The sequence below is a fragment of the Homo sapiens genome, chromosome 11 (genome assembly GCF_000001405.40).
Source record: "Homo sapiens chromosome 11, GRCh38.p14 Primary Assembly".
Classification (NCBI taxonomy): domain Eukaryota; kingdom Metazoa; phylum Chordata; class Mammalia; order Primates; family Hominidae; genus Homo; species Homo sapiens.
In genome coordinates, this window is record NC_000011.10 from 116,354,590 (window position 1) to 116,382,476 (window position 27,887).

The window sequence follows — 27,887 nt, forward strand, 5'->3', positions numbered from 1 at the left end:
ACAGAGCACAAAGAAAAAGCACCATAAAAAAAAATGGCCAACAAGTGCTATGGGAGATGAGACCACTGCCACCTAGGGAAACTGAGAAACACTTCCCAGAAGAGGCCATTAAAAATTAAGAAATAGAGCCGGCGCGATGGCTCACACCTGTAATCCCAGCACTTTGGGAGACTGAGACGGGTGGATTACTTGAGGCCAAGAGTTCAAGACCAGCCTGGCCAACATGGCAAAACCCCGTCTCTACTCAAAATGCAAAAATTAGCCGGGCATGGTGGCACATGCCTGTAGTCCCAGCTACTTGGGAGGCTGAGGCACAAGAATAGCTCGAACCTAGGAGGCAGAGGTTGCAGTGAGCTGAGATTGCACCACTACACTCCAGCCTGGGTGACGGAGTGAGATTCCATCTTTTAAAAAAATTGAGAAATAAAGGATTCAAAAGGAGAAGATGGGTACAGGGCATTTTAGGTCCAGGGAATTATGAAGATGCCATCAAGATGATGATGGTGATGACGACAATAGCAATGATAAACATCAAGGATGACAATGAAAAAATGTTGTCATCCCCCTCTAGCATCTTTTCCTTGGGCAAACTCAGCCACACTGCTCCCTGCTGCCTGACCAAGTCCAGGCTCCCTGACCTCTCTGGCTTCTGCTTCCTGGAATTTCTGAAACATTGACATGTCCAGTCTGCCCTCCACAGCAGATCCACTGTGATATGGTAGGAGATAGGTCTTTGGTCCTGGCTCAATTACAGGGCAGGCTGAGAATAGATGAGAAGATAATAAAAGGAAAGGGAAAAAAAGATAATACTTTGCATCTGTATAATGCTTTATAGCTTTCAAAGCACTTTTATATACATTATCTCATGTTTGCAAGAAAGGTAATATCGACCACATTGCAAAGATGATAGCCAGACTCAGAGAGGTGGGGGTTAGCCAAGATCACGCTGCTGGCCTCGGCTCCATCTGCTGCTCCACCACTGTGCCTGGGAGGGCACGTGTGGGCCCATTTTGAGCCCATTCTAGAGGGCACAGGTGTGCGCTCTGAGGATCAATCTCACCACAGTGCGCCCTTCTACTAAACATCCAGAAGGACGACAGGGGTCATATGTCCAGCAAAGCCATGGCCAAAGGGCCAAGCCCAGATTCCCGTATCTAATTCTATCCCTTCGCAGCATCATGCTGTGCACCCAGCAGGGACCCAGCCATCTCAGAGATGCTCCACCAAAACTGATAAGGGGATCCCAGTTGCCTACAGAGCAAGTGAGCCTTCCACAACCTGGCCCAACCTGATCTCCCCCTACCCCTCCTTGTCCCTCTATTTCTTCCACAATAGCAGGATGCTCACCATTCATCTCCCAAACTCACCTGCACTCCTCGCCTCTCTGCCTTTGCTTTTCAGTCCCCTCCACCTTACACATCCTTCGCTTGCCTTTCTGCTGACCTTCAGACTTTATCTCCTTCATGAGGTCTCCCTCTCCCATCCACATCAGCATCCATCTCTCTTCCGCCAGCACTTTCTCTCTGCCTCAGTACTGCACCTCTCCCAGCCTGCCAGGTCGCAGAGCAATGGGTAAATTCTTCCTCCTCCCATAGTGGACTGCGGGCCATAGAAAACCATGGGGCAGGCCTCCTCACTCCCTTTCCCACCCCCAATACACACACAGTAGTTACTTGGTTCATATTTATTTAATGTTGTTTCATGTAAAAGGTCACAGTAACTCTCATCAGTACAGCTGCTGAGCCTTACATTGCAGGACAGGGTCCCACCAGGATGGTCTGAGGGTAGAACCAGGATGTCAATCTGGGCTGGTTGCAGATCTGGCTGCTCTGGGGCAGAGGAATACAGATGAAGTGTTCCAGGCCTGCCAGGCTCTGAAAGCCCTACAGGAACGACCCACCTGGGAACCCCTATTAGCGACCGCCTCTCTCAATCAGGTCTGCCCAGGGAAAGAAAGACACTGAAGACCATTCAGATCCCCAGAAATGTCAACACTCCTTGAAAGAGGTCTCCACTGGCCCGGAAATCTCCAGGCTGCCTGCACTTGTGATAAGCACAATAAATAAAACAATGAGACCCATTTGAAGGCACTTGTGAGACAGTAGAGCTTTGAGAATTTGACTTTGATGAGTTTGAAAGGCAGAGGAAAGAAAGAAGAATGAGTTTCCTCTTGGGCTCAGGTTTGTTTATCCCGCTTCTCGGGAATCCGAGCTTACAAGGTTGATGGTTTCAAAGGCCTCTAAATGTTTCTGGAATCCCAGACCAGGCTACAGTGGGCCTGAAGGCTCCTGTTTGCCTGGCCCCAGAAAAGGCACAGCCACATCAGCTCCCTGGAGGATTCCTGCCGGGGCCGAGAAGCAGGCACAGGTGGGAGCTCACCAAGCTGGAGCCCACCCTTGGGAGTGTGCAGAGGAGGCGAGGCAGCTCCACGTAAAGGGAGAACCACAAGGTACAAGTGACTGTGAGAAGATGACTGGGAAGCCTCAGTGGGGCCAAGGAGTGAAGGTGCCCTTTGTGGGGACTGAGAACAGAGTCCTGGACCACAAGTCCGGAGTACAAGGCCAAGCCTGGATCTGCTGCTAAGCTGTCCCATGCCAAGTCTCTACCCCACTTTGCATCTTCATAAAAGGTCCTCTCTGAGGTTCCTCTGAGCCCTATGTTGACTCCACCACTCTTTAAGCAGGTGGTTCTGCCATGGGTCCCCCGGCTTCTTCCTGACCCTGTCCTCCCTATCCTGCCCCAAGCCCAGCCCATCTGGACCCCACTCTGCAAGGGCCCTGCTCCCTCTCAGCCATCAGTGCACCCCTACCCACGACTCAGTCTTCCCTCTGAAAACTTCACTGTAGTACCCTGAGATGTTTTCCCACATTATAGAGACTTGAAACCTGCCCTCGGGGCCACAGTCTATGTACCTGTGCGCCGTGTGCATAGTTAACAGTAATGCCAAGACGGACTAATCGTCCTTCAGTCCATGCCGCACGTCAAGTCTTCATACGCACTCTCGTGCTCAGCAGCCCTTTCTACAGAGGAGAGAACCCTGAAGCTTGAAAAGATGCAGTAACTTGCCCTCCTGTTGCCTTCGCAAAGGGCCTTGGCACCCATGTCATCCTCACGACAAGCCTGCCAAGTGGACAGTTAGATATTCCCATTTTAGCATAAAGGAAATGGAGCTGAGAAAGGCGAAGCAACTTGCCAAGGTCACAGCTCACAAGGAGCGGAGCTGGGATGGGGCAGGGTCGCACTCCCCAAAGTGGCCCTGCCTTCCAAGGCCTTCTCCTGCTCTCCTCCGCCTGGCGGCCTTCTAGGCCCACGCTCCTGAAAGCCGCTCCTAGGCTCACACTCTGCTGAAGAAGCGTCAAGGACTGAGCGAGGCGAAGAGGCCACCTATTTACACGGCCCAGTGTACACCCCTTCCCAGGACTGCAGACGCACTCCCCGCCCACCGCCTTTGCCGCAGCAAGACAATCAGCCCACTCCGCCTCCCCTCTGGCTCATTTCAGAGTGCAGTCAGACACTAATTGGCTCTGAGAAGTGATTACTTCAAAGAAGTTCCCATCGGACCAAGACTTCTCGGAAAAAAACAAACAGCGTGCACCCTGCCTGGGGAGCCACCCGCCCCAGAGATGGGTTTTCTGCCTGCCTGTAGGCGGCGCTGCCGAGACACGCGGCGCTGCAGGACCGCGCCCCGCCTGCTGCGTTCCCTATGCTGTCGCCCCGCCTGGAATCAAAGGCGTTTGAGCTGGAAGGCACAAACCCCACAGGCAAGCAAGGCCAGAGAGGGGATGTATCCTCTTTAGAGTCACACGGCCAGTGGTTAGCAAAGCTGGGACTAGAACCCACAAGACTCAGTGCTCCGCCCCACCCTGCCCTGGGTGGCTCTGTACTCAGCTAGCTGTTGTCCCTGGCAGCACCGGACCCATGCCCACGGGTAGGGCGTGGGTGGAGGGTGCTCTTCAGGTAGCAATCAGGGCCCCTGCCAAGGGAACTTGCTGGAGAGCCCACGGCGGCTCACCCCACCCTCCCTGTGCACACGTGTGCTCAACACCTAAAACGTTCTAGGTCCCTCTGGGCCTGGGGGTTCCGAGTAAACAGGAGACTGCCCCCGGCGCCCCTGACACTTATAGCGTGGCAGTGACAAAGCATATCTGCTTATGAGCATTCCCGGCCTTCCTCCCCACCTCCCCTGCCTTGGAAGAGGAAGGAGCCATGGACTTTTGGGCAACCTCTGGGCCTGCCCTTTCTGAAGTGTTGAAATCAGGTGGAGGCTAAAGAGGGAATTCAAGAAGCCCAGCAAGCTTGGGTCAGAAATCATACCTGCCAACACGGGCACCTGCCCCATAGTGAGTTTTTAAAAGATGTTTGAGATAATGTCCAACAGTTAAAGCTCAGATTTCTCATTCAGATTCAGATTCCTGGCCTCTCATGGTAAACTAGGAAATCTGGTCACACCAGGCCCCTATTGCTTCATTCATTCGTACTTTCGTTTAAGCATGGGGCTGGTCCCATCCCAAGTGCTGGAATACCAAGGTGAACAGGACAATCGAGTCCCCTGTTTTTGAGAGGCATCTCTTCAAGGAGCCTCTCTGTGCAGGGCATATTCACTCTAGTTTGCCACAGTCTCCACCATTCCCTATTATCACGTAGACCACTTCCCTTGTTTGTGATCTTTGCATGACCACCGTTTATAACCACCTCCACCAGACCTGCTGCTGAGAAAGGGCAGAGAGCTAAGCCAGTAAACAAAATGCTCACCTCTCTTTAATCTGTGGCAGGTGCATGAGTGTTTGTCTTACTATGTTCTTACTATGTTCTGTTTTCGTATGAATATTTGAATTTTTATTTTTCTTTTATTTATTTATTTATTTATTTTTGAGATGGAGTTTTGCTCTTGTTGCCCAGGCTGGAGTGCAATGGTGTGATCTCACCTCACCACAACCTCCACCTCCCAGGTTCAAGTGATTCTCCTGCCTCAGCCTCCCAAGTAGCTGGGATTACAGGCATGTGCCACCATGCCTGGCTAATTTTGTATTTTTAGTAAAGACAGGGTTTCTCCATGTTGGCCAGCCTGGTCTCAAACTCCCGACCTCAGGTGATCTGCCTGCCCCAGCCTCCCAAAGTGCTGGGATTAGAGGCGTGAGCAACCGCACCTGGCAGAATTTTTCACTTTTAAATTTAAAAATGAGAATGAAAGTAAAGAGTTATCTATGAGTGAAAATCTAGAAGCAGGAAGGGAGTGAGAGAAATCAAAGCAGGAAAAGACTGTGTTCGGGATGGCTTTGGGAGAGTTTAGTGGGGGAAAGAGAATGTAGTGATGCTGCCATACTGTGTGGGGTATTGACAGAAAGCAGGGGGAGGGAGAAAAGAGGTTTTTAAAACTTTTGCTGTATGTTAGGAACGAATGCCCCTTTGGCATTTTCCAAGCAGCTTCATAAAAGATTTAAATCATTTCTCAATACTTTTTGGATGTCTGCCTTCTGCTTCTTTTGAATATAACAGTGTGGGATGGGTGTGGGGAGAGAAGATAAACAAAACATAGGCAGTGCCATGATGGGGAGGTGCAAGGTGCAGGGTGCAGGGGTGGCTCCTGAAAAGAGCACCTCCTGATCCAGAGTCACAAAAGGCCCCCAGGGAGGAATTGATCAAACCAAAATGTGGATGAGTAGATGTTAGGCGAACACCAGGCAAATGGTGGTGAGAGAAGGGAGCAAAGTGTATTCCAGGCAGGGGGAATAACTTGGGGGAAGGCAGACTCCAGGATCTGGAAGCAGTTTAGGCTGGTGGGACCGTCTGTATGCATGCGGTAGGGATGCGCAAAGAAATGGAGCTGAAGGGCCGGCAGGGACACTGCCAGGCCTCATGAGCTATGTGACAGCCCGTGGACCATGTCCAGCAGGCAACCAGGAGCCACCGAGGGTGTTAGCAGAACAGTCATGTGGTCAGTTTGCATTTTAAAATGTTCATCTGTCTGTTCTGTGGGAAATGGATTGGAGGAGGCAAAACAGAGGGGTGCAGATTAGGAGGCTATTGAGATAGATTGGACAAGAGACCCTGGCAGCTTGGGCTGGTCACTGCCAAGGGAAATGAGAAATGATGCTTGATTCTAATGACATGCAGGAAATGGAGGCCTAATTCAGTACCATGTCTCCAGCATCTAGCTTCCTTCCTGATACTCAGTACAAAAGGATAACGCATATTTATTGAATGACTCAATAAATGAACAGAAGACCTAATAAACACACAAAGAAGCTGGTACTGGTATGTAAACGTTAGCATGCTTAAACCTCATCCCTTCATTGTACAATGTTCATAAACAGCGGCTACCCGTTTCTGGAGGCCTGCTTGGACCAGGCAAGAGTATGAGGTACTTCATATGGATGATTTCCATGTCGCCTCTGCAGAACTCCTGTGGCCCAGGCATTTCTATTCCTATTTTGCAGGTCAGGAAACAGAAAAGTGAAGCAGCTTGCTCACATTCAGCTGGGGAGTAGGGAGCAGTGCTAAATTCTCACCCAGCGGTGTTCTTTCCATACCTCGTGATCCCTCAGAATGACCTCTTCCAGGTTGAGGCACCCCCACACCCAGCTCCTCCATTCCGGTCCCCACCAGCCTCATACTGCAGCTAAAAGGAAACAGCTACCAAGTGAAATGAAAGGTTGGAAAGCACTAACCTGAAGTTCCTGAATATCCATTTTGGATATATTTCATTAGTATCTTCATCATCATCAACAAACATTTAGTGAGCACCTTCTGTATACCAGGTGCTGTGCTAGATAATAAGGGTACAAAGAACTGGATACCTTCCCTGTCCTGGAGGAACTCATAGTTTAGTGGGCAGGAGGAGTGGTTGAGGAAGTGGTCTGGGTTCTGTAAGAGCTTGTGCAAAGCTCAGAACTGTGGACACACTGGGCACATCTAGTGAGGCCACGACATGGGGCCCAGGAGAGAAAGAGGTGGCAGATGAGAATGGAAAGGCAGGTGGGTGAGAACCTGACTTGGGACCATAACAATGGGGACAAACAGAAGAGTTCAGAAGTTAAAGATGCCTCAGTGATGGGCCTGACAGGACGCTGATCACTTAGTGATGAGAATGAACGGAAAAATGCTCACCTGGAGGTACTAGAGAATCTGGATGTTTCAGCCAATTGGCTGCCCAAGCAGACCCCGCCCCTGGCTCCAGTGTAACTGCTGAGATATTTCATTGATCCCCAAAGCCAATTGATCCCTCAGGAGTAGACTAAGAAACAAAGAAGGGATTGTCTGTGTCCCAACTCCCTTGACAGACAAAAGCTTCTGCTTTTCTGCTTCTCTCCTTACCTGTCGAAATTCAAAAATCTGATCAACCCTCTTGGCCCCTCAAACCAAATAACTCCGTCTTTGGCTAAATAGAGAAGAGGAGATCGAGGATTTGAAGAGACACTTATTTATCTCTTTACCAGACAGTCTAATGAATAATTTCATGTTTGCAAAAGCTCATTTTGAAATTTGAAGACAAGAGATATATTGCCAAGGCGGCTCTAATACTGCGACATTAATTTTGCACTGAAAGATTTACTCAAAAATTAGATTTTACAATTTTAATGCCTCCATTCTTTTCTTTAAATAAGCTGTGAAATACAGTTAATTAGACTTAAACCCTGGAAGCTTAGACGTTTGAGCTTTGGTGTAAGCTACAAAAGAAAGCAAGCTTTTTCACTTGCAAATTAAATCTAAATTCATTACACGCCTAAACCTATACCACTTGCAGAAATCCTACTGGGCTGAGGAAGGGTCTTCTTGAGGCTCCAGATGTCTCCCTACAGAATCCTGGCTGCAGAGAAGGATTGGGGAAATGAAAGGAGAGACAGACTGGGAGTGGAAAAGACAGAAAGCATCTGACAAGTTGTCTTGGACAACGTTGGCATATTCTTTGGAGCATTAGCCCTGAGAATTGCCCCTTGGAGGAAGAAAAGGTTCCATGCACACAAAAAAACAAAACCAGGAGATAACTGCATATCATGCTCCCATCCTGGAAAGTCACAGGTTCAAAGAAGTAAAACAAACAAGCAAATCAACAACAACAACAAAAACAAAAACTGTTTAACTTTGTCTCACCCAGAATTTTCCAAACACATTTGAGAGCAAAGCCCTTTTTCTCAAAACACCTTATGTCTGGGTCTGTCTACTGCTCTCTGGAACACAGTCTGCTCTCGGCTCTGACAGCTCCACAAAGACAACTTTCTCCTACCTAGACATGGCCTCAAAGACCGAGCTCAAACCTGTTCTCTTCCATGTTGATCTCTTCAGTGTGAGCTGTGGAACAATCTCATGCACAGCCATCTAAGAAATACAAAATTGGAATCACAGCAGGTTGAGGAATTGGGGGGCCCAGGGTAGATACAGTATGGGTATTCACCTAAGTGATGCTGCCTGCTTAACACTGCTCAACACATTCATCAGAGAAACAACCAGTTCAAAGATGTAAGGAAATGCAGGCACCTTTTAGCCCAACAGTCTACATAATGCTAAAATCTTTCCACAAAGCCCGTGATGGGCTCATCCAGTGCCTGAACATTTATGACAGGGAACTTGCTGCTCCCTGGATATCCCTCTTGTCTCTAGACAGTTCTGACCCCATATGTAGATATAAGGCTGCCTCTTTAGAAAACCCCCCACTAGCCTGGAGTACAGCTTGTCCAGGACCTTGCCAGGTGGGCTCCAAATAGGCTGGCCATGGGACCCCATTCCCAGTCACCCCTAGGACTTCCCCATCTATGCCTACGTTTCTGAATCAAAGCAACCCTCTTCCCAGCTATTAGCTATTGCCACATTCCATGGCCAAACCCCTTTCCTTAGGCCACTGTTTTCTAAACTTTCTTGGGACCACGGATGCCACTGAGTTTTCTAATGAAATTGATGGGTCTCCCCAGAATTGTCCAATATTAGAAGCTTCACAAACACCTTGAAGTTTATTTCATTCTTGCCTGTGTGGCATCCTAGTGGAGGTATCTTGACCTGATTGCTGGCGTTGACTAAAGCTAACCAACTCCAATAGACTTTCAAGAGTTTTCCAACTATCTGCTTGCAGACCTTCCTCTTGTGTCCTTTGCTATTCAGGACACCCTGTCTGCAAACTGCCTAGTATTCTATTCAAGATATAATTCACCTTTGAAAAGTAATAATAAAAATGATAATAATAATAATTCCACCTTACTTTTGCAGTTTACAGAGTGCTGTCATGAACTTTACTTAATTTGACCCTCACTGGGCCCGTCATAGAAGTTATCCTTTGCTTTTTTTTGCGGGGGTGGGGTGGCGGGGAGAGTTTCACTCTTGTTCCCCAAGCTGGAGTGCAACAGCACGATCTCAGCTCACTCACTGCAACCTCCACTTCCCGGATTCAAGCAATTCTCCTGCCTCAGTCTCCTGAGTGGCTGGGATTACAGGTGCACACCACTACGCCTGGCTAATTTTTTGTATTTTTAGTAGAAATGAGGTTTCACCATGTTAGCCGGGCTGGTCTCGAACTCCTGACCTCAGGTGATCCGCCTGCTTCGGCCTCCCAAAGTGCTGAGATTACAGGTGTGAGCCACCGTGCCCAGCCTATCCTTTGCTTTTAACAAAGAAAAAAACAGCCTCAGAAAGGTTAGGTGACTTGCCCAGTACTAGAGCCAGAAGACAGGCTTCCTGTGTTCTCGTTCAGTATTCTTCTACAGTATCACGCTGCCTCCAAACTAGAAATCGCAAATTCTACATTTTCACATAGTACCCATGGTCCTTGGTGGCCAGAGGGTGACAGAAGGGAGAGGAGGGTATGTATTCTTTACATAGCAAGTGAAAGGATCAACAGATTATTTTGTATATGACAGGATTAAGAACAATACTTGGGATTTCAAAGCGCCAGGGTTCACTACTGACTCCGCTACTTGCCAGCTATGTAACTTTGAACAAGGTACTTCACCTTTGGAATTAATAGCAGAGCTGAAGTACTCGAGCTACAGAGAGGGCTAAATGAGATAACACACATAAAGTGCTTGGCACATGGTACACACTCACCAGATGTTAGCCCAAAAAGGAATGTGGGCCAGGGAAGCCACAAAAAAAAAAAAAAAAAAAAAAAAAAAAAAGTCTTCCTAAATTGGGCTCAGGGAGTGGCTGTAGGTGTTCGTATGCAAAAACAGGATGAGGCCTCTGAAAAGGTGTCCAGGCAGGAAATTGTAAAGTACATTAAGTTGGGGGAAGGTTATAAATAAGCTACAGTCTTGAACAGCAAATGTTGCATGGGTGGAGGGAGCAGAGAGTGGAAAATTGAGTCAACTAGGGCTTTGGAGTCTGGGCTTTTCTCTGAGGCCATGGGAAGTCATTGAAGGATTTTGAAATGGAGAGGGATACAGAGTGATGGTCAACTGGCTGATAACTGGAAGCAGGGACAGGCTAAAGCAGGGGACCCCAACCCCTGGGGGACCAGTATCAGTCTATGGTCTGTTAGGAACCAAGCCACACAACAGGAGGTGAGCGGCGGGTGAGCAAACAAAGCTTCATCTGTATTTACAGCCACTCCCCATTGCTTGCATTACCACCTGAGCTCCTCCTCCTGTGAGATCAGTGGCGGCATTACATGCTCATAGGAGTGCAAACGCTATTGTGAACTGCACATGTGAGGGATCTGGGTTGTGAGCTCCTTATGAGAATCTAATGCCTGATGATCTGTCACTGTCTCCCATCACCCCCAGATGGGACCATCTAGTTGCTGGAAAACAAGCTCAGGGCTCCCACTGATTCTACATTATGGTGAGTTGTATAATTATTTCATTATGTATTGCAATATAATAATAAGAGAAATAAAGTGCACAATAAATGTAATGCACTCTGGTGCGTGGGAAAAACTGTCTTCCACTGGCCATGGTCTGTAGAAAAACTGTCTTCCACGAGACCAGTCCCTGGTGCCAAAAAGTTGGGGACCACTGGACTGAAGAGTAGATACAACTTTGGAGGTTATTGCAGTGACCTGGGTGATAGAGATGGAAAGTAATCTCTTACCTCTTTCTTGGCTCTAGCAAGGTGCCTCTGCCTTCTGCCCAATCTCCAGGTCCCTCTCCCATCCTCACCCTGAGTGCCCCAGGTAGAATCCCTGGGTCTCTGTGGTGAACCCTATTCCAAGATTCCCATTTTGATGGGCTGGCTTGCAACACAGTTTGAATCTCTGGTTGAGATCATTCTTAAGTGTTGCCTTTCTGGGGACTGGAGCCTGAACTTGGGACCCACCCACCCCTGATCCAACACACCATGTTGAAAATAGCAGTATGACAGCAGCAAAGCCTTCAGGGAGCTTGCAGCCCAGTACAGAGAGCAAGCCATGTGCAAGAATGACTATAACATAAGGCCAAGCATGAGTCACAGAGCTTTTTAGAATAGCTCTAGCTAAACAGCTATGGTTGTTCTAAAAAGAACGGATCAGGGAAGCCTTCGTGGGTCTCCATTTATTTGGGCCACCTGACTATTTCCATCAGAGCTACATGCCACCTATCACAAAGGCACGGCCACAGTGGAAAATGGCCAAAATCCCTCCTCACTTGGCCCGACAGGCCCTGCTCTCACCTCTCTGCATGTTCCAGATACCTGCTTTTAGCTCTTCTTGACTGAGACTGTGGCTGCTACCCCAGCCAGCCACGGAGGCATAGCTCTCCCTCTTAGATCTGCAAATATGCCCAAAATGGGATTGAAGAGGGGTGAAGAAAACAAACTTTGCAAGGAAAACAAGAGAAAAATACCAAGAATTATAAAAAGAAATATGTTTGCAGAGTGATTGTTTCTGGTTGCAAACTGAGCACTTAGCAAAATATTGACTTGCTGGGCACAGCCTTTGAGGGCCCCAGGCGGTGGTCTCTTGCCATTTCAAGATTTTCTTTGCTGAATACTTAAGAGATATTTGAATTTCTCTCCAAGCAGATAAAGGCTGGCCCTCTCCCAGGTGCCATGGGATCCTCAGTGCCTTCTTGAATCTGTCTGGTCTCCCATTTGGGTCCCTAGTTACCTCCATTAGACTGAAGCTGCTGCTCTGACACTGCCAGCTCTGTCCAGCAGGGCACATTTTGCCTGGGACGCTGCCCTCTGCTTGTGCCCCTGCCTGTGCCTCCTGTGTTAACCCAGCAGAGGCTTTCCTTCTTCCAACTCAAGACCCTCCTGACTTGAACCTGGAATAGTCCTCTCACCTGCCTGCCTCCCTGGCTATGCATGCTTGGTTTGCTGACCACTAAATGTCAGTTAAAACTTATTCTCTTCTCAGATAAACTTGCTCTGCACCCCTTGTGCATCCACATCTCACTCATCTACTTCCAGGCAGTCTTGAGAGCTGACACCCTCTTTCCCTGGCTGGGTCACACTGTTTCCTTCCCAGGATCAGAAATAGACACGACCTCCATTTTTACCTGTAAATCCCATTCTTCCTTTTACACTCACCCTCTGGTCTCCTGGATGGAGAGTGGAGTCATCCTGTTTACAGCAACAAGTTGGCAATTGCAGCAATGCCCTAAGCATCCTCCGTGCCTCAGGCCTCCCAGGCCCTCATCTGTATTCCACAGTTCAGCAGGGAAAGAGCTTTCCATAGTGCATGTCTTGTGCAACTTCCCCAGCCTCACATTCCTGGCCTCCCATTGTTCTCACAGAATACCTATGTCTGATTCACAGTCAACAGCACCCTGTGTGAGGCATTCCCCACCTGCCTTCCCAGTCTCAATCCTGGGCACTCCCCGTCATTCACCTTCCCTCCAGCCATTCTAGTTAGAGGGTCCCAAATGCACCCTGCTTTTCACCGGCCCTTCTGCTTCCTGCCTGCCCTACTCCATACACTGAAGGAATGTTTACTCAACCTCCACCAGGAAACCCTCTTTGACCTCCCTCAACAGAGACAGCCACATCATTCTCTGTGGATCCCACAGTGCTGTATTTGGACCTGTGTTACAAGATAATATTATTTCTGTAATTATGGATGTTCTGTCTCCCCAAGACATCAAACTGTGGCCAAAAGCCCAGACTCAGAGTCCAACAGAGCAAAGATCAAATTCCAGCTCCATCGTTTTCTAGCTGGGTGCCCTTCAGCAAGAGCAGACCTTAGTCTCAGCTTTCTCCTGTGTAAAACGGTAATAAAGATAATGAGACCTACCTTATAAGGTTATTGTAAGGATTAAATAAGTTAATGCGTATAAATCACATTGCCTGATACAAGGTAAGCTGCTATTCAATATTGGCTCATTCTATTTTAGAAACTGGAACCCGGCCGGGCGCAGTGGCTCATGCCTATAATCCCAGCACTTTGGGAGGCCAAGGCACGTGGATCATCTGAGGTCAGGAGTTTGAGACCAGCCTGACCAACATGGTGAAACCCCGTCTCTACTAAAAATACAAAAATTAGCCTGGCCTGGTGGTACACACCTGTAATCCCAGCTACTCAGGAGGCTGAGGCAGGAGAATCACTTGAACCCAGGAGGCGGAGGTTGCAGTGAGCCAAGATCATACCATTGCACTCCAGCCTGTGCAACCAGAGTGAAACTCCATCTCAAAAAGAAAAAAAAAAAAAAAAACAGAAAAGAAACTGGAACCCTAAGTTCTTACCACATAGGAACAATAACTAAATTTATTTAGTATTTGCTAGCTTTACTTGTATCAACCCATTTAATGTTCATAACAACTGCATGAAAATGTTGTTTTGTTATCTGTATTTTGCAGATGAGAAAATAGAGGCAAAGAGGCTAAAAAACTTGCCTAAGTTAATGCAACCAGTGAGCAGCAGATCCAAACCTAAGAAGTCTTGTTCCAGAGCCTTCTACTCTAACAACCATACCCCACTGCCTCTTTACATATTCACTAAACATTTATTATAAAACATGAACCAATCAACCCATTCAACTTTGTATCCTTAGTGCCTAGCATGGACCCAACACATAATGAGTTCTCAGAAACGGTTGTTGGTTAATGAGGAGCAGCAATTCCAAGTGCAAGGAATCAGGCTCTCCCTGTTATCAGTTCTCCTCACTTCTCCGTGTGTTCCCATGATTTTGACTCAGGGAACCCCAGCAGGAGTGGGCTTCCATCATCCTAGCACTTTGATCTTCACGATAAACAAGTGCAGTAAAGAGAGCAGGTTTCCTGTTCACTAAAGAAGGGGAGGAAGGCCCCTCTGCGGCCCAGGCAGCCATAGCTCTGCTCCAACCCACATGACCCCTGGCATCTGCAATGATTTGCAGAGAGAGAAAAGGGAAAGAGAGTGAGCCCCAGACAGGGAGAGATAGAGAGAGCATTTGACTCATTAGCTTCATATTAAATTCTGACGTTTGAACCTGACGGAATCCGAGTAGGGCTGGAGTAATGAATTAATCCCAGGGAAGAAGACAGGTCTACAGCTCCTCAGCTATTAGCAGCCCACTGTGCAGGGGAGCCCTGCTGAGCTGACATGTGTCACAGAGTTTGTTCCCCACCACCCGGCTCCTTGTGGAACCTCCCTGGTCTGGCCCAGTCAACCTCAGGAAGATTAGCACATGATAGGGATTCAACATGTGTTTGCCCATTGAGGCACGAATTGAGGAGTAGGTCACTCCCCCTGCAGTTTGATGGGATGAGACCAAGCCTCCTGTGAGTGACTGCCCCAGCTAGCAGTCTCCACATCTCCTAGGGGTCATTTGGTCTAGACCCTCACCTTCGGACCCCTTTCCAGGGTCACAGATTGGAGTATCTCCTAGCAATGGATCATAAAGGAAAATGATGACCACAGTGGTTATCAGCTTCCCCAGATTTGTATTCATTCATTCATTCATTCATTCATTGTCTGTCTGACACACACACACACACACACACACACACACACACACACACACACTCCCCAAATCTATCACTCTCCCCTTCAGTCTTCCTGGCTACCCGCATTTTTATTGATGGCAGTTCAGGGGCAGTCACAGGATGATGCTGGCACAAATCCTCAAAAGAGAAAGACAAGAGAGAGGGAGCCACAGAAAGGCATCTCCACATCCCCCCAGCTCTCTTCTCCAGGCTGGGCTGTCTCTAACCCCAGGCCACAGAATTCATCGCTCACTCTGATTCAGTGGGACAGTTATTTTATATTATTAAAATAAGAGATTATCATCACCACCAATCTCCATCTCCTTTCCAATCTCATCTGAAAAGCAGGCATTGCCTCCTGCTCCCGGACCCCTAATTCTCTCTGCCTCGGCTGTTAAATCATTTAACCTGGTAAAGTGTCGGGAGATGCATTTTACATGAGAGACACGAGGCGGGATAAATCTGGGCTGACTGCAGGGTCGGGAAAGAAATATCTGAGGTGCGGCCAAGAGTCAAAGAAAGCTTGGATGGCAAGCAAAGTCCGGAAGGGTGGGACTTCCCTCCTCTGCCCTCCTGCTTAGGGAACTAGAGAGCCAAGCCTGGTCCTTGTTTACAGAGTGGCAACTGAAACCAAAAACAGACAACGGCAAGAGTGGACCAGCAGACATCATGCAATCAATTGAGCCTTCTCCTGGACTTCTAAGATGGGACATTACCATGCATAGCCTTACCAGGCAATGGGACTCAGATTAGATCCAAGATGCAGCATTCAACTTGATCCACTCAAAGCTGGGCTGCAGAGCTTGGCACAGATGGAATTGTCTCAGAATGTCTAGGCTGTAGACCTCCAAGCATGAGTCTCTCAATTTATAGACAAGGAAACCAAAGCCCAGAGAGGTGTAGGGACTTAGCTGAGAGTACCTAATACTAGCAAAAAAAACCTGAATTTACCTCCAGATTTGAGCCTCCAGATCCTGGCCCATGGTCCAATGCCTGGTCCAGTGGGTTTAAGATTGATTCTAACCCGGGCCATTTTCTGTACATTTAACACTTTGTGGTTTATAAATGACAACTCTGGTTACTCAGGGGCCTTGGTCAGAATACAAGGAAAGTTCATTTATTCATGAATTTATTTTATCAACTCATATTGAGGTGTCTGCCATGTGCCAGCTCTGGGCTGGGTGCTGAAGACACAAATTTGGCCCACACACAACCTTGCCATCAAGGAGCTCACGGGTAGATAACCACAACAAGGATAAATGGAAGGTGCTATGGGCACCCTGACTGCAAGGCAAAGTAACTACCTGATAAAAACAATGCCAGGTATATGCTCTTGGGATTATAGGTTGAGAATATAATTTTCCCATATGATTTATCCATCAAATGGAGATTTTGCAAGCCACTGTGTGAGAGTTCCACAAATGCTTAATTGCCCCAGAATTCAAGGTTGCTAATTTCTCACTTGACCTGAAAAAGAGGAGCAACCCTTCCTGGGACATCTGATATATGGATAGCAGGTCCAAGGGTCCTGCCCCAATTAGGAGGTCATGCCTCTCGATTCAGCCTCTTACACTTAGAATGTACCAAGCACTTAAAACAGGGTGGGGGTGTACGGTTGCCAGATTTTGCAAATAAAAATACAGAATACCCAGTTAAATGTGAACCTCAGACATACTTACACTAAAAAAACCAAAACAACAACAACAACAAAAAAACACTATTGTCTGAAATTCAAATTTAGCTGGGTATTGTGTATTTTATCTGGGCATGGGAGAGAAAACCATTTAAAAATTGGACACACATGATTTGGGTGGGAGAAGCCTGGCTCGGGAGCCAGGGGAAGTGCCTGGAGCCCAGTGGGTGTCGTTGGCTCCCAGGGGAGGCAAAGCCCTCCCTCAGCACAGCCTCTCCCAACCCAACAGCAACTTGAATGACCTCTTGCAGCTGTGCTAACCAGAATGCTCTTTCCCAAACAACAGATTAATTGATTTAAAACTTTTAATGCCAGATGCTTGCTGGAAGCATTTTAATAATCCTCGAGTCAGAATTAATCATGTCTCCTGATCTTTAAGGAGGGCAGTTATTAAATCCCACAGAGGCAGGGGATGGGGGCAGGGAGGAGGAAGAAGCTGTTTTACCTGGGTCCTCTTCATTGCTCTGCTCTAATTAAGAGCCCTGGGGCACCTGTGGGGTGCAGGCGGTGAGCAGAAGCAGGGATTGCTCTGAGTGTGGTCTGACTGGAATAGCCCCTGAGAGGCATGGATTCGGTTAGTTTAGCTCTGGTTCCTGACAGAGTGAAAGGGAGGCCCATCCTGGAAGATGCCCCGTAGGCCAGACGAGAGGACTAGCTGATTCAGACTCAGCATGGCCCTGCCCAGCCCTGGGACAGGACCACCTTTCTCCCTAGAGATGAGGAACATGCTGGTGAATTCCTCTCACTCCCTTTTTACTTCCAAGGAACTTTAGATAAATCTACTAAAAGTAAAAGGAAAAAAGTCTCCCCTCATGATATTGGGGATCTGTCTGCCTCTCCATGCTTCAAACTGTCCTTCTGCCTCTCTGCTCCCTCCTCCTCTATCCCCCTCATGGCTGCCAGCAGTCTTCTCTACCTCTCACTATGACCATGTGCTCTCTAGTCCCCAACTAGAGACCTCCTCTATCCAGAAGCTGCCTCACTTCCCCCTTGTGTCTCCAAACCCTCTTCCCCATACTTGTCCAACTGCCCATTCTCTCTCCCCAGGTCTTCTCAACTCAGCTCCCTACACTTAGAATGTACCAAGCACTTCACCAGTGTACGCTCCAATCTTTATAACCCTCTGATATGGTTTAGCTGTGTCCCCACCCAAATATCGCCTTGAATTGTAGCTCCCATAATCCCCACATGTCAAGGGTGAGACCAGATAGAGATAACTGAATCATGGGGGGCAGTTTCTGCCATGCTGTTCTCATGATAGTGAGTCTCATGAGATCTGACGGCTTTATAAGCGGAGCTTTCCCTCTTTCACTCAGCACTTCTCCTTCCTGCCATCGTGTGAAGACAGACATGTTTGCTTCCCTTTCCATCCTGATTGTAAGTTTCTTGAGGCCTCCCTAGCCATGCTGAGCTGTGAGTCAATTAAGCCTCTTTCCTTTCTAAATTACCCAGTCTCGGGCAGTTCTTTATAGCAGTGTGAGAACAGACTAATACACCCTCCTATTCAGTGTATCATTAGCCTTTGTTTACAGAGGGGTAAACAGGCTCAGTGATGTTCCCTGACTTGTCCACAGCCACACAGCTGCATTAGTTCAGCCTCAAGCCCCATCTCCCCCTCTAAGGCTTCCTGGCCCCTGCGTGTCCTCTTAGCTTCAGGCTTCATAATCATCTGAGGATCCTGATTTTGCATGTGATGGTACCATGTGTTTTGCCCCATTCAAAGCTCCTGACAGTCAAGGTCCATGTTGTGCACTCCTCTCTAGTTTCTACACCCCCAGTGCAGGGCAGTGCATCAGACCACCTGGAAATGTTTAATTGACAGGAAACTCACAGCTGGGGTGAACCTGTCTGGGCACCTAAGCTTCCCACTAACTGAGCCAAGGAATTCCATTTCCCTTAAGGATCAGTCACTCCTACTACTGGGAATGGGACCACTCCCACCCCACTCCAGATACCCCCACCCACCTCTCAGCACTGTTGCATAAGCTCCAATCAGGCAGAGGCCTCCACTACATATGTTGTCCAACCCACAAGCAACACAACCCCAGGACAGCCTTGAGAGTGACACACTCTGCCCCCTATTAATGCTGAAAACCCTGGCCTCCCCTGGTCCCCAGATGCCCCACTGTCAAAGCTAAATCGATACTCCCTTTTTTCTCTGCTAGAACATCTCAGTAATCCTAATTGGTCACCATGGCAACCCCAGCTGCAGCTCCTCGTGGCCTCAATGAAGAGACAGAAGGATGAGAGGGGGTGAGATGGAGGTTAAGCCTACTTATTGTATAATGCTCTGCCTTTGATATCACCTACATCCACATGCTAAGTACCTGGAAAGAAACAAAATCCCGTGTAAATTAGAATGATACCATCCAATCCCCTGCTTATACCCTCACTAGCAGCAGCCGATAAGGCCATTGTCTGCAGCCACTGGGCCTGACCTCCTCTGTCTTGGCGGCTGAAGGGGTTTCGGTGGTGGGTCACATTCATCAGGGAGGATGGGCTGGGCTGTGAATCTCGAAGGGCAAGGTGGCTGTGCGGTGGCTGCTGCCTGCAACACCCCACCTCCAGGAGGGCCTCCAAGGGAAGCAGCAAGGCAGGAAGAGCCCTGCATGGAGCTTTGCCCTGTGTCTCCTCCTTGGCGGAACCATGGGGCTGGTACACCATGTTCTCGGCAGATGAGTCACTCTGCACTTAGCTGAGGCACCCTCAATGCTTCATTCCTGCAGTAGACTCAGGAAGGAAGTCTCTCCATCTCTCACACACAGAGTACCTGCCAGAAAATTTATCTTCTCATTCAGCCAACTCAGAAAACTCTCTACTCTCTTCATTATTCAAAGGCTTCTGTATTCATCAGGGTTCTCCAGACAAACAGAACCAATAGGATCTACATAGATATACAGAATGAGATTTATTATTAGGGCTTGGTTCATGTGGTTATGGAAGCTGAGAAGTCCCACGATCTGCCATTGGCAAACTCAGGAAAGCCAGTGGTGTCATTCTGGTCCAAACCTGAAGGTCTGAGAACTGGGGGGCTTATGGTATATTCACCCTTTCTCCACTTTTTTGCTTTTCAGGCTCCCAGTGGATTAAGTGGTACCCACCCACATCAGTAGAGCAATCTTCTTTACTCAACCTGCCAATTCAAATGCTAATCTCTTCCAGAAACACTCTTACAGACACCCTCAGAAATGTTTTACCAGCCACCTGGGCATCCCCTAGCTCAGTCAAGTTAACCCATGAAATTAACCATCACAGCTCCCTCCTCCCTTCCCCTCAGTGCCGCTGCCTGCATGGGCTGGGTCTTTGTGCTGTGACTCTACCATCCTTCTATCACCAGGGGGGATGTTGGCCCTGTAGTTGCTGCCTACATGTGCAATGACCTCAGACCCCCAGCTCTGCCCCTACATTGTATTCTCAGAGCCAGACTTCCTCCCCATCCCAGGAGAAGTGGGTCTGAGCTTTCTCTCCCGATTCACTACCCTGCTGATGCTCCACATGCCCCACATGGAACTTCTAACCTGTGTCCCACTTGCTGCAACAGAAGACCCCTGGGCTCCCATCCTGCCCTGGCTGAAGCCAGAGTCTAATCAGCCTTTCTGTACAGGGTAGGAACCAGCTGCCCCAGACCCATTTGAGTGAAGCTTTAATCCTACCCTGTGGCCCTCAGAGAGTTTGCTTTACTAGGAGCTCCTCTAAATTCCTCTATGGCCCATTTGGGTACTCTGCCCTTCAGAAAAGGAAGGCCCATGTTTAACATTTCACTTTTCTGAATGTTAAACAGAATGTGAGAGAGCCTTGTCCATTTGGGCTCTGTCTCCCTTTTTTTTTTTTTTTTTTTTTGAGACAGTCCTACTCTGTCACTCCAGCTAGAATGCAGTGGCATGACCTCAACTCACTGCAGTCTTTACCTCCCCGGCTCAAGCAATGCTCCCACCTCCTAAATAGCTGGGAATACAGGTGCACGCCATTGCACCTGGCTAATTTTTGTAATTTTTTGGTATGGTCTTTGTTTGGTTGGTTGGTTTTTGTTTGCTTGCTTGCTTGCTTGTTTTTTTTTTTTGGAGAGATGGGGTTTCACCATGTTGCCTAGGCTTGTCACGAACTCCTGGGCTCAAGCGATCCACCCACCCCAGCCTCCCAAAGTACTGGGTTTACAGACATAAGCCACCATACCTGGCCTTTGTCTCCCACTTTCATAATTCATCCTCCTTCAGCTCACACAGCACCATACCAGTGGTCATCCATTTCTGAACTTTTGTCAACACCCAAGGCTTTCTCTGCTTCCTGCCCATTTGCTCTCTCAACCTTCCATCTTATAACCATTAGAGGGCACTTTACCATGTACCAGGCACAGTTAGGAATACAGAGAATCAGAGAGGTATTCCTATTTTCTCAACCAAAAAGGATCTGAGAGTTTACATCTATCCATGTCCAGTCTGTAGAAGAAAAACTTTACGCTTAGGTGTGCCTGGGAATAAAGAGGCAAAACAGCACAAGAATGGGTGGGAAGAACTACAACTTTAGAATCACATTTATCTTTTTTTCTTTCTTTTTTTTTTTTTTTTTTTGAGACAGAGTTGCTCTATTGCCCAGGCTGGAGGGCAGTGGAATGATTTCGGCTTACTGCAACCTCTGCCTCCTGGGTTCAAGTGATTCTCCTGCCTCAGCCTCCAGAGTAGCTGAGACTATAGGCACATACCACAATGCCCGGCTAATTTTTGTATTTTTGTAGAGACAGGATTTCACCATGTTGGTCAGGCTGGCCTAGAACTCCTGACCTCAAGTGATCCACCCACCTCAGCCTCCCAAAGAGCTGGGATTACAGACGTGAGCTACCACGCCTGGCCTAGAATCACACAGATCTTGTTCTGAAATCTTGGGCAAATTACTCAACATCTCTGAACCTCATTTTTATGAAGATTATTGTGTGCAGTGAATGTGATATGATGTTGCCTGGAAGAAGGCTTTGTAAATGATAAAATGTGGTACAAATGTCAAGAACTGTCATCCTAGTGATCCCGATGATATGGGATTGAGGTCTCTTGGCCTCAATGGGTGATCCTCCCATTTCTCCCTCATGAATCCTGTTCTGGAAAAGGAGGAATCACTAGTCCCTACCAGGTTATGGCCCTGTGCATTCCTGCCTTCTCCCACAAAGGTCAATCCAGGTTATCCCTGGATTAACCTGGATAAGACTAGAGAACTTAGAGATAAGGTCTTTCTTGTCACCTCTTGCCCATAAATGGGAGAGAGACCAGATCCTTTCAGCCTAAGATGTGATGATTGTCTTTTCACTTCTGTATCCCAACCCACTTGTGTGGAAACATGATACTCCCTCCCCTTGTTAGGTAATTTATATCAGCAGTGTGGATATATTTCAGGTACATATTTCAAGCCCCAATACCTCCTGTGACATAGATAAAGAAGGGATGGGCTCATGCTCATTACACCAAGGAGGAATTGTGGCAAGAAAGGTAAAGTGACTTTTCTAAGGCCACACAGCTAGTGAGTTGCAGATCTGAGTCTTCCAATTTCCAAAGGCAAAATCAGTGATGTCTTCCACTGTGCTGCAGCTGCCCACCTCCTGGAAGCCTGCTCTGTGTGCCCCACTTATCTGCTATTCTGGCAATGTAAACATGTGAGGAAGGCTCTTTGTTCAGAGGGCATGTTGAGTGGAATATGAGGTCAGGGTTCATCTGCATTTTTGGCTACAGAAGGCTATGGAGATAATAGGAGCCCCTTTGTGTTCAGTGGGGCTGGGTGGGAGCAAGTGGATGTCTGAAGGAGATTACAAGCAGTTCTAGATATTGCTTGTCATGCTACCATCAGCAGACGCCTTTTCCAATTGACTAGTTGCTTGTATTTCCAGAATAGGGAATGCCAGATGTATTTACTGCAGTGAAGGAGAGTGCTGAAGGCCCTTGGAAAGATATCCAGCTGTTGAGTATCTGAGGAGAGCAGGATAGTTTAACCCCTCATGGCCTAGTAATCAGAATTCCTGGGGAGCCAAGGACAGAAAAGGCAGCACACGCCAAACGAATGACTTGAGATTTGAAAGTCCTTTCTAAAGCTGCTTGTTTGAAATGCAATACTCACATTCCTGTGTAAACAATGCTGCTAGGACTAACATTTATTGAGTCCTGCGATATGCTTGATGGAATCAAGATACACCCTCTGTATTTATTATTATTATTATTACAACCTCACCTGATTACAACCTCACCATGTAGAAGTGGCAGACACTGGTTTGCTGTTCACCAAGTCAGTAACCTTTTCCTCTTAGGTACACAGTCATTTCTCAGCCTTCCTAATATTAGGTGCATCCATGTGAGCATGGAAGATAGATGGGAATCATATGTACCACCTCCTAATGTAGCCCGTAAAAATGCCTACTGCTCAATCCTTCATGCCCTCTCTCCTCCATCTGCCTGCCCGATGCAGAGGCTCTAGTTGAAGGCTCCCAAGCTCCAGAAAATTACATCCACTAAATAGAAGGATACAGGGTCCCTGAGTGCCTGCATAGAGCCAGGCCAGACCCCTCTACTGACCTGCATTGGACTGTGACATGAGTAAGAAATAAAATTTTATTGTGTTAAGCCACTGAGATTTGCTGGGTTTTGTTACTGAAGTTCCCCTATTTTAACAAACGTATTAAGTATCAGTACATATCAACTGCCCCATTTTACAAGTGAGGAAACTGAGGCTCAGTGAGGTAGCAGGACATGCCCAAGGTTACATAGCAAGTAAGAGGTAGAGCCAAGATTCAAACTCAGGTATGTCTGACTCCAAAGCCAGTAATTTTTCCGTGCTGCCTACCAAAATTGGTTGCTAGCTTTCTAAGCCAGTGACAAAAATCTATTTGATCAATAAAATACCCCATGCATTTTTCAACTACCCTTAGCCATTGCTCATAGTGGTTTCTATAGGACAATGATTGAGATTCCACAACTGACTTTGAGAACATCTCACTACCACTGCCTCACCCCCAGCGGTTTTGCACCACATTTCCAGACCCAAGTAAAAGAAGATGCTTCTGTAGATGTGGAGGCTTCTTGGTCAGTTGCTCCCTAAGGACTCCGAATTGGGATAAAAAAGCAGTTTTCTCCATGGGAATGGGGAACTCCACACTCAGACATCCCTGCGCATCCCATGTTTCCCTTGCTAGGTCAAATTGTTTGTAGGTTGAGAGTTTGCTTGTGACCTAGCACAAGCAGGTCAGTTCTGGGTATTAGTGTGTATCTATATTGATCCTATAAGCATTGTAACCACTGTGTCTGAGCCTGAAATTCAAATCCATGGTCTGACCAGTTGAGGTGCACTTATGATAACAATGGGAAAGATTACTTAAAATTGCCAATGACGGCCAGGTGCGGTGGCTCACGCCTGTAATCCCAACACTTTGGGAGGCCAAGGCAGGTGGATCACAAGGTCAGGAGATTGAGACCATCCTGGACAACATGGTGAAATGCCATCTCTACTCAAAGTACAAAAATTAGCCTGGTGTGGTGGCATGCACCTGTAGTCCCAGCTACTCAGGAGGCTGAGGCAAAAGAAACGCTTGAACCCAAGAGGCAGAGGTTGCAGTGAGCCAAGATCTTGCCACTGCACTCCAGCCTGGGTGACAGAGCGAGACTTCATCTCAAAAAAAAAAAAAAAAAAAAAATGCCGATGACTTGGAAACTCTGGGAACTCTGACTGCTATAAGCAAAGGAAAACCCATGGTTCTTTTCTGAATGGGACTCAGCCAGAGGAAATAAACTCTTCAGTATGTCCTGGGTAGTAATGTGTGCCCATCAATGTTCCAGTCCATGGAAGGGAGGAAGGTAGAAGAGGCAGCATTCCTGCCCTCCAAAAGATAAGGTGACTAGGGAGACCAAGCTGAAACACAGGAACTGAAACTCTAGAAGGTCTTCACTACCACACCCAGTGGAAAAACTCTCCAGCCAGTCAATCTTAATTTGCATGCGTTCACATGTGGGACACAGATCTTACTGTCCTTTTCAGGATCTGCTTCAAGCTCCCAAATAAATCCAGTTGCATGTAAGTCAATGGTATGGGGTTTACTGAACATTTGGTAAAGAAGATGAAGATTTGCTTTACGTGCCCCATCGGACTCCTCTTTTAACATTTCCCTAGTTCTCTCTCTTTTTAGCCCGAGTCCCCTCTATTCCTTGTCCCCTCTTGGGACTACTCCTTCCTAACTATCCACATATTCCCTGGGAGTTTCTCACTCCCTTATCCAATGTTGCTTCCAAATCTCTCACTGCTGCTTTATTATGCAGAAGAACATGGCTCTTTCCCAGATCCTGTCTTCAAATTTTCGCATCCCAAACTGCCCCCTCCCCAGTCCCCACACAACAAACACTATCAAGTCCTTAGCAAAAAAGTGGTTCCTAGTTATCAAAGCTCATTCTAGGGAAAAGGGTGGGTATGTTATAAATAATCTGCTCTAAAACATTTCTATTATTCTGCTTATGGAAATTCACCCTGCAGAAATCTTACCCCCGAGTTCTCGGGCAGGGGAGTCTGCTGTCCATGGTGCTGACCTGGGAAGCTATGGCTTCATCGTTTTTCTACTCCCCATTCAGCCAGGAAATTGGATCACTTTGCTCTACTCTGAGACCCCACTCCACTCATCTTTAAAATAGGATTATTAATACTACTTACCTCATGCAAAGCACTTAGCATCATACCTGGCACAAAGAGCTCAATATGTGGTAGTATTTATTATTATGCTATTATTCTACAGGTCCCAGGACCTGTCCCACATCTCCTTTTTATTCACTGCCGCTTCCCAGACACATTCTTTCCTCTCACATTCATTGCTAAATGTACTTGAATAAATGATGCCACGCATCTTCCTCCCCACATTTTGCTTTAAAATTGATCATGTGTTCCAGGAGGGATTTTTGTTGTTGTTTGTCTGTTTTTTTGTCTTTTGTTTTTTTGTTTTGTTTTGTTTTTTGCTATAATATTGAAAGGGAAACAGGAGTTAACAAAACAACTAGCAGGGGGATGTTGCAACCTAGAAACAAGCTTAAATGTCTGCCATAACTGGATTCACTGGTTAAAATATAAGTGAAATTAACCCCAAAATTTTTTCAGCTTTGATTTTGTTCCTTCATTGATTCATCTCTTGGCTCCCTATTTTTAAAAAAATTATGGGCCTTGAAAGTATCTGCTGTCAAGATTTTCTGTGATTGCCTCTCTCATAGTACATCTCACGCTCTGCCGAAACTGTCTGCTAATAAACATTTTATACTTACCTTTGTGTCCTCAACAACTTACAGAATGCCAGGCACATTGTTTGGAACTGAGTGGAAAAATAGTGAACAAAAGAACAAATTAAATTGGGTGGGTTGCAATTTTTACCTCAATCTTTCACCCCCTCTCTGTATCCACACACCTTTCTCCATGTGTCTCTGCAATTCTTCCCACTGAAGGAGTGGAGTATATTCTTCCTCCCCTTGACTTTGGGTTTACTACACTGAAGGAGTGGAGTATATTCTTCCTCCCCTTGACTTTGGGTTTACTATGTGAGTTTCTTTGGGCATATAATGAAGCAGAAGTGACAGCGTCCCAGCTCTAAGCCTAAGAGGCATTGACCCTCTGGCTTCATTATGCAAAGAATACACCCTGGACTGACCATGATCCTAAAAGGAGGATGAGAGTCACATGAGCAGAGCCATCCCAGCTACTTGCAGATCTGAAATGAGAAGCAAAGCCAACCAGCTGAACCCAATCTAGGTGGGCTGTGTCTCAGCTGAACTTCAGAACCTTGAGTGATAATAAATAGTTATTGTTTTAAGCCACTGAATCTGAGAGTTGATTTGCTACACAGCATTATTTTCACAATAGCTAACCATATACATAGATAAAAACACACAGGGATTTTTTTTTTTAATCAGAAGACATGGTTTATGAAAGTCAGCATCTCTCTCTGTGCCTTAATTTCTCCCACATATTAAAGTTCAGATAAAAATTTCTGGGCCACCTAGTTCAAAAAGGTCATTATTAGTCTCAACTGAAATAATGATAGGAAAGCACAGCAGTGAATTAACCAGCAGCACAGAGATAACAGGGTATTATTATTAGGGACTGGTATTCATAAGTCTCTCCACCATCCTGGTACACCCACAGTCCCTTGCCACGGACCATGTACACTCAATTGAAATGAGACACCAGATAGCAAAGGATGCTTATTTTGGTCCACAAAAATACTGGTAGAATTAATTCACTTCCAAGAGAGAATTTAAAACTGACTTGTTCATATTTGACCAGGAAATTCAACTGAATTCCTTTATTTTCTTAATACAAAGCTCCCCCTCTACTCCACCCAATGCTTGCTTAATGCACTCTACAACATCTCCATCAAGAGTCTCCCAGACTCCACTTAAACCCTCTAGTCAAAGGAAACTCAGCTGTAAAGCAGCCTGTTTTCCATTTTGGACAGCTCTGACTCTGAGAAAGCTCTTGCTTATCTTCCCTAACCCCCAGACTAGGTCGGTTTCCCTAGTTGCCAGCTTCTCATAGCACTCTATCCTTTTCCTTCAGAGGATGTATTATAGATTACAATTTAGAAGCTATTTGTGGAATAAGTTGTCGAATGTCAGTCCCCTACACCACACTGTGAACATCATAAGAGCAGAGGTTGCACCCTTCACCCTTTTTGTTCACTATTGTATCTTCAGCACATAGTATACTAGTAAATGAATAAGTATTCAATAAATATGTATTGACTGGATAGATGAACAACTTATTTTTAACAGTCTTATATAGCACTTAACAAAGATTATCTCCCTTAACAATAAATAAAAGAACAGAGGACAGCATTTGTCTTTCTGAACTTTCGCTCTCCCAAATGATACTGATTCTATCTCTTGGGGAGGGTCCCACTGAGCAAGTCTCCTCCCTGGACCATCTCCTCATATTTGTTACTAGAACTAACTCCTGGGAGATTTCTGATTGAAGGAGTTAAAGGATGGAGAGATAAAGGACGGAGAGTGAAGAATTTATAATTTATACAACTATTATTTATTGAGCACATGTTATATAGCAAACACATTTGTAGATATTGAGAATACAGCCGGAGGTGTAAGAGACACCCAAAAAAATCCCTTTATTTACGGAGTTTATGCTGTCACAGGAGAATAGAGATAACAAGCAAAATATATAGTGCATCAGAGAGGAATAAATGCATTGGAGAAAAATAAAGCAGGAAGAGAGAATGAGGAACCTGAAAGGAAGGTTGCTATTTTAAATAGGGTGGTCAGGGCAGGACTTTTTGAAATGACATTTTCACATAGACCTGAAGATGGTGAGACAGTGAGCCATGCAGGTATTTGCAGGGGAAGAATGATCCCCGCAGAAAACGTAGCAAATGGAA

The 27,887-nt window shown here is 46.7% G+C and overlaps 1 long non-coding RNA gene across 1 annotated transcript in view, besides 7 other annotated features; it reads right to left on the bottom strand.

Moving 5' to 3' along the window:
- LOC107987166 (uncharacterized) overlaps window positions 1-27,887 on the bottom strand; it is a 160,015-nt gene that overhangs the window by 40,379 nt on the left and 91,749 nt on the right. The window lies entirely within an intron of this gene.
- Window positions 2,761-3,624: an enhancer, noted in NCBI's record as "H3K4me1 hESC enhancer chr11:116228067-116228930 (GRCh37/hg19 assembly coordinates)". NCBI's record gives its function as "activates a minimal SCP1, AML or CMV promoter by ChIP-STARR-seq in naive H9 embryonic stem cells {active_cell/tissue: H9 hESC(naive)}" and the evidence as "EXISTENCE:reporter gene assay evidence [ECO:0000049][PMID:30033119]".
- Window positions 3,625-4,488: an enhancer, noted in NCBI's record as "H3K4me1 hESC enhancer chr11:116228931-116229794 (GRCh37/hg19 assembly coordinates)". NCBI's record gives its function as "activates a minimal SCP1, AML or CMV promoter by ChIP-STARR-seq in naive H9 embryonic stem cells {active_cell/tissue: H9 hESC(naive)}" and the evidence as "EXISTENCE:reporter gene assay evidence [ECO:0000049][PMID:30033119]".
- Window positions 5,362-5,862: an enhancer, noted in NCBI's record as "H3K4me1 hESC enhancer chr11:116230668-116231168 (GRCh37/hg19 assembly coordinates)". NCBI's record gives its function as "activates a minimal SCP1, AML or CMV promoter by ChIP-STARR-seq in naive H9 embryonic stem cells {active_cell/tissue: H9 hESC(naive)}" and the evidence as "EXISTENCE:reporter gene assay evidence [ECO:0000049][PMID:30033119]".
- Window positions 12,470-13,207: an enhancer, noted in NCBI's record as "H3K27ac hESC enhancer chr11:116237776-116238513 (GRCh37/hg19 assembly coordinates)". NCBI's record gives its function as "activates a minimal SCP1, AML or CMV promoter by ChIP-STARR-seq in naive H9 embryonic stem cells {active_cell/tissue: H9 hESC(naive)}" and the evidence as "EXISTENCE:reporter gene assay evidence [ECO:0000049][PMID:30033119]".
- Window positions 24,843-25,137: a silencer, noted in NCBI's record as "tiled region #8002; HepG2 Repressive non-DNase unmatched - State 10:DNaseD, and K562 Repressive non-DNase unmatched - State 10:DNaseD". NCBI's record gives its function as "represses a minimal TATA promoter and a strong SV40 promoter by Sharpr-MPRA in HepG2 cells, with weaker repression in K562 cells {active_cell/tissue: HepG2 | K562}" and the evidence as "EXISTENCE:reporter gene assay evidence [ECO:0000049][PMID:27701403]".
- Window positions 24,843-25,150: a biological region, named in NCBI's record as "Sharpr-MPRA regulatory region 8002".
- Window positions 24,950-25,150: a silencer, noted in NCBI's record as "peak1479 fragment used in MPRA reporter construct". NCBI's record gives its function as "represses an SCP1 promoter by STARR-seq MPRAs in K562 erythroleukemia cells {active_cell/tissue: K562}" and the evidence as "EXISTENCE:reporter gene assay evidence [ECO:0000049][PMID:32103011]".